Here is a 6262-nt window from a genome sequence, read left to right as displayed (position 1 = left end):
TTCTGCTATTTGCAGAGGTGAGTGGGTAGGGACAGCTCTTCACCAGGGGCTGCCAGACAGTCAGTCAGAAGCATCATTTTCTTACTTAGGATTCCCATGGGAGGCAGAGGGTGAATCTCAAGGCTGGGATCCCTGTCTCCACTGGCCGCTTCAGCAATGCCCAGACCACCGCTCTGCCCAGCGAAGGAGCCTGCCCTCTCCTCCGAAAGGAAGCTCCCCTGCCCTCAGGGAGGAGCCTCCCTCTGGAAGGGCTGCTGCCAGGAGCAGTGGCAGCCCAGGAGGCTTCCCCCTCCCTCATATCCCTCTTGGAAGGGACTGATCCTCCTCTCAGGGCTCCTGCATGCTGGCGACATCCCAAGCCCTGCCCAGGACAGCACCATCAGTGCAGCTCTCAGTCCCCCGCCCCAGCCATTTCCATCAAGGGGGTGGGTATTATCTGTTAAACCGCTGTGCGGCATCAGGCAGGTCTAAGGGGCGGAGATGCACTTGTGTCCCTTAACTAGTGGTTAAGAGGACAGCTCTGATCAAATCCCAGCTCTGCTACTCTTTAGTGACATGGCCTTGTAACTAAGGCCGCAGCTGTGCCTGGCCTGTGGCTGAACCTCTCTCTGAACCTCAGTTTCCTCCTCTGTAAAGTGGGGACAATAGTAGTGCTTATAAATGGCATCAACCAAGGTGCTTAGCTGTAAACAACATAGACCAACTCTGCTCACTTTAGCAGAAGCATTTCTTAAGAGGGTATTGGGTACACACTGGTGCCAAAAGACAGGCATAAGAATAGAATATTCCTAGCAGCACCATTCAAACATCAAATGTCCATTCACAATAGAACAGGTAAGCTGGTTACGGCCCTTCACACCAGACAGCACGGAGGATGGAGAAACCTCAGCTACGTACAGCAGCATGGATGACTCTCACCCACGCTAACTCAAAGAAGCCAGACACGAAAAGGGTGTGCACTATATCATGCTGTTTCTATAAAGCTCAAAAACAAGCAGAACCAATCTAGAAATCTGGTGGTGGTTATGTTTGGGAGGAGAGACCCTGGGAGAGTCTCTAAGGTGCTGGCCCTGTTCTATTTCTTGGTCTGGGTTCTGATTACATGAGTGTGTTTGCTTTGTCAAACTTCATTGAACTGCACACTTAGGATCTGTGATCTTTTCTGTATGTATCTGATACTTCAATAACAAAATTAACTTTGAAAAAAAGCAGAAGGCATGTTTGGTTGCTCATGGATGTGCTGGGAGAATCAGAGAGCTAGGCCTGAAAGCCAGAGTCCAGAACACTGCCCCTAATTTTTTTTTTTTTTTTTTTTTGAGATGGAGTTTTGCTCTTGTGACCGAGGCTAGAGTGCAGTGGCACCATCTCTGCTCACCGCACCTTCCACCTCCCAGGTTCAAGCAATTCTCCTGCCTCAGCTTCCTGAGTAGCTGGGATTACAGGCTCCTGCCATCACACCCAGCTAATTTTTGTATTTTTGGTAGAGACAGGGTTTCACCATGTTGGCCAGGCTGGTCTCGAACTCCTGACCTCAGGTGATCCGCCCGCTTCGGCCTCTCAAAGTGCTGGGATTACAGGCATGAGCCACCGCGCCTGGCCAACACTGCCCCTAATTAAGGCATGGAGCTGTTTCAAGGGAGGAAAAGGTGGCAGGCGTTGCAGCCAGAGGGGCTGGTTCAAATCCCAGCTCTGCCAGTCCTTAGTTATGGGACTTTGGACAAGTCTCTGGATCCCTCTGAGCTGTGTCCTCATCTGTACGATGGGGTGCCAGCCCACAGCTTATCCCACCACTGTCCACACTGGCACTGCCTGTTATCATGCCTGGCAGAATGGATCCCGGATGGTACCTGCCCCTTCACAGCTGAGCTCAGGGTGAGCACATCTGATTGGCCAGCCCTGGGCACATGACCACACTACACCCTGCAGCATGTGGAGGTCAGTGCGAAGCTGGGTGCAGGGTCTGGCTCAGGGGTTCCATGGAGCCCCAGGGTGGGCTTTACCCGCCAAGATTCTGACTTACCTGATCTGGGGAGAGTCTGGAATGTGGCTGTTCTTTTTAAGCTCCCCAAATGATTCTAGTGTGAGTCAAAGTTGAGAACCACTGCCCTGAATCTTTATCTTTGAATCCTGAAAACTTTCTAAAAGGAAAACGATCCCAGAACCTTCAGAGTTTCTGTCCATTCGAATCTAGTACTAGTATACCTCGTTTGAAATTAACCTCATCTAGCGCCATCTAAGCTCAGAAAATGAAGCCATTGTGGGATCATTTGCCAAAGGACTTGTTGACATCTGTTTTTATTCTTTTTTATTTTATTTCATTTTTCTTTTATTTCCTTTTTTGTTTCTTAATCCGAGTGAACTCATAAAGTCTGTTTTTAAGTGGTACTTAAGCAGTTAAAATATGACTCAGTTTGACTCCATTGAAACTGCTTTAAATAATTTCCAAACAAGATGAAGTTAAGAGTAAATAAAATAGTCACGTTTGGGAGCATGAAGGAGCCGGCAGCTTTTGACGGTCTGGTGATCAGGCAGCCACGCAGGACCAGGTCTCGACTGTCCTTGGGTTTTGTGGAGCATTAAAAAGGAATAAGGAAATGGGGTGGAGGAGGTCAGCTAATTCTGGGAACAAAGCTAAGACTGCTGTGACTGGGGACTGGTGGGGTCATCAACTCTTTCTTGGGTAACTTTGGCCATGCTTTTTTTTCCTCTGCAGAGTCTGAAAAGGCTACCTGCTTTAGTTTCCTGTGGTTGCTGTAATCATTACAACAACACAAATGTAATGTCTCACTGTTCTGGAAGCCAGAAGTCCAAAACCAAGGTTTCTGCAGGGGTTTGCGCTCTAAAAGCTTGGGGGGAGGATCTTTCCTACCTCCTCCAGCTTCTGGTGGCTCCAGGTGTTTCTTGGCTTGTGGCCACATCACTCCAATCTCTGTCTCTGTCTTTGCGTGGTCTTCTTGCCTGTGTCTCTGTGTCTTCTCCTCTTCTCTTACAAGGACACTTGTCATTGGATTTAGGACCCACTTGGATGATTCAGGGTGATTTCACCTCAAGATCTTAATTGTATCTGCAAAGACTCTGTTTCCAAATAAGGTCACATTCTGCATTTCTGAGACATGGACATCTTTTGAGAGGGTCATAATTCAGCCCACTCCACCACCTTTGCTCAAAGGATGCTTCTGCATTTAACTTAGATTCAGCATCCTGATTCCACAAGTGTACTTTGGCCTAGCTCTGGATTTCAGATTTGGCAGGGCCGAGGTCCTTGAACCCCAGTGCCCGGGTCAGCAGAGATCATTTACCATGCAGATTCTGAGGGAGTAAGTCTGGGCAGAGCTCAAGGTTCTGCATTTCCAACAAGCTCCCAGGTGATGCCAACAAAGCTGCTGGCCAGGAACCTCCCTCTGAGCAACACGTCTGGTGACTATGGGAAATATCCAGGTCCCACCCTGGTGATCCTGATCCAGAGGCCCATTCTTTCCAGGCAGCTTTCAGATCCCATTCTGAACCGGGGCCGGCAGCCCCTGCCCTGTGCTCAGGAGCAAGGCCTGCAGGCCAGGAATGAGCCAAGCCAGCCTGAGCCCCTAGCCACCTCCTAAGAAGGGTGTTTCCCAGTCCTGAAGTTTGGCTGGGAATTCCAATAGAATCCGTGACCTTTCAGGAAGCATCTACACTCTCCTAGCCCCCTCCCTCTTACATACCACCCCTCAGCCCTCTTTCTCTCTTGCCCTCTGATAAGTTCCCCCTTGGGTCCTCAGACAAGCCACAGGGCCCTGCCAGCTGCCTCCTGGCTGGATGCAACCCAACCTCACCGCATGGTGGGGATGGCCCAGGTGAGGGCACAGAAGGCCCACCTCTGTCTAGCCAGGCCCCACGTCAGCAGGGCTGCCAGCACAGGGACAGCGAGACCAGCTGGGGAACTGGTTATTTCAAGTGGCTCCCAACAAATCATGTCATTTCCTCAGCTGTGAAGACTGACAGCCCTCAGCACTGTGGCAAATGCAAGCCACTCTTTCCAATGATCAGTGTGAGAGGAAGAAAGGGAGACCCCATGGGGGAGAGGAGGCCTCCCCTGCCAGCCTGCATGGGGCTGAGCAGTGGGGCAGGGACAGAGGTGATGCGACCACAGCTGAGTGACTCAGCCAGGGTCTGCTCTCTCACATATGGTGGCCAGGACCCAAGATCCCACCTGTGGCAGGTGTCCCTGAGGGCAGTTGACACCTCAAAATAAAACTTGAGATTGCTCATGCAACCGTGAAAAGGAAACAATTTATTACCATAAAAGAGCCATTTAATGTGAGACCCCAATAGCCTCTGGCTGTCTGTCATCCTGATCTGACGTGAAATGGATTTGATATTATCTGCAAACAACCACACATTCCTTCAGAAGAAAGTCACCTCCACAGAGGATACATGACTTGTTTGTTTGTGGTTGGCTATGGCTTTGACTTTCCCCGCCACGCTGTTTGCCTTGGTTAATGACCAGCCGGAAGTGCCCTGCCTCCTGTTTGGCTGATGAAAACGCTGACCTTTTCAGGAATGATTCCAAACCAGGCATCTGTGGATGACTTACCTCATCCCTTTCATTGCTCCCCACCACACTGCATTCCCCATAAAGGAAGTAGCTATTTTAGGCAAGGGAAAATGAGATGGTGGGACTTTCCCCAAAAGCAGGCTTGTGCCTGATGCAGGGTGGAGGAGCCCCACGCCCTGTGGAAGGACAAACACAGCGTCATCCACAGACGTTGCCCATGGGTCCAGTCCATCCATCGGTGACTTATGGGCAAAAGGGAAGGAAGGAAAGGAAAGAAGATTGGTGAGCAGTGTTCTTTGCTATTAGGCAGAACTGGCCCAGTGGGTGGCAGTCACAGAAGGGGCGGAGACCAGCTCCGCAAAAAGAGTTACTTCTCCAAGTAGTGAGCATCCTGTCACAGAGGTTATATGAGCAGGGGCAGGATGAGGAGACTGTTTTTATTTACACTCTGATAGGAGGAGTAGAAGTGGACCCAGACCTTGAGGAGCCTAAAATTTTTCTGCAGAGGCAGGCGGGACCTGATATGGCAAGTGAACATCAAGGCCTGCCTTGCCTCACAGGGCAGCTGGGGACCAACCCATACGAATCCAACATGCGGAGGAAGCCAGAGCCGGAGCAGGAGGCAGAGACCTGAGGATGGGCTGGAGCCTGTGTGCGGGGCTTTCTGTCACTTGCAGAGTCCTGGCTGGTACACTGAGGAGCACTAGCTTGTATGGCATTCTTTCCATGATTGGAGTTCAACGATGGGAGACCAGGGAGATGGAGTAGTTTGAGCTCCTGGGGAATGATAACATCTGGATCCTGAGAGGGGAGGAAAAGCAAACGCCAGCAATGACATAGGATCAGAAAGGTGCTCAGCATGGGGCTGTCTGTGGGAGGGGCCCAGGTGCTGGCACCTACGTGACTGAGGGCTTGTGGGAGGGGGAGGGAAACTGCTTTGCAACAGCAGGGGACCCAGGTGGGGTATGTGTGGGGTATGTCCCAGTCACCTCAGGGAAGGGGGGCATTGAAGGGTGTGCTCAGGATCCACCTCTTCCCCGAGTTCTCCCTTGATGCAAGCAGCCTAGGATCAGACTTCCTTGAATTCTAGCTCATCTGCCAGGGAGGCACTACTTCAGCCAGAAGACCGCCTGGAGGACTTCATGGGGCTTCAGAACCCAGGGCACTCCTGCCACATGTTATCAATGACTTTGCAGTATTGTGATAGTGTGTGATACCACCCGTCATATGCAGTAACAAGGAGGGAGACTGACCGAACTTTGAAGGCATCCTTCCTGTTAGAATTTCAACTACCTCCATATCTAGTACAGGAGAGGGAAGTAAATGCAGTGGAAATCTGATTTTTTTTTTCACTCTGTTCCCCAGGCTGGAGGGCAGTGGCACAATCTCGGCTCACTGCAACCTCCGTCTCCTAGGTTCAAACGATTCTCCTACCTCAGCCTCCCGGGTAGCTGGGATTACAGGCATGTGCCACCATGCCCGGCTAATTTTGTATTTTTAGTAGAGATGAGGTTTCTCCATGTTGGTCAGGCTGGTCTCGAACTCCTGACCTCAGGTGATCCATCCGCCTTGGCCTCCCAAAGTGCTGGGATTACAGGCATGAGCCACCACACCTAGTCCCTGATTTTGTTTTATCGGCAAATTCACTGTTGAGGGTTGGAGCAGCCTGTGATATCCGTGTGAGTCCATTTGTGAAACTGAAACTTTGTAACAAGAACTAAGATAGTTATT

General features: G+C 50.8%; 2 annotated features.

The window, feature by feature from the left end:
• Positions 249 to 750: an enhancer, noted in NCBI's record as "H3K4me1 hESC enhancer chr17:17353405-17353906 (GRCh37/hg19 assembly coordinates)". NCBI's record gives its function as "activates a minimal SCP1, AML or CMV promoter by ChIP-STARR-seq in naive H9 embryonic stem cells {active_cell/tissue: H9 hESC(naive)}" and the evidence as "EXISTENCE:reporter gene assay evidence [ECO:0000049][PMID:30033119]".
• Positions 3849 to 5048: an enhancer, noted in NCBI's record as "BRD4-independent group 4 enhancer chr17:17349107-17350306 (GRCh37/hg19 assembly coordinates)". NCBI's record gives its function as "activates an origin of replication core promoter dependent on BRD2, P300/CBP, MED14 and CDK7 cofactors, and independent of BRD4, by STARR-seq in HCT116 cells {active_cell/tissue: HCT116}" and the evidence as "EXISTENCE:reporter gene assay evidence [ECO:0000049][PMID:35650434]".

This window comes from Homo sapiens, chromosome 17 (assembly GCF_000001405.40).
Source record: "Homo sapiens chromosome 17, GRCh38.p14 Primary Assembly".
NCBI lineage: Eukaryota > Metazoa > Chordata > Mammalia > Primates > Hominidae > Homo > Homo sapiens.
Note: the sequence above shows the minus strand (reverse complement) of the source record. Positions and strands in the feature narration are given on the sequence as shown.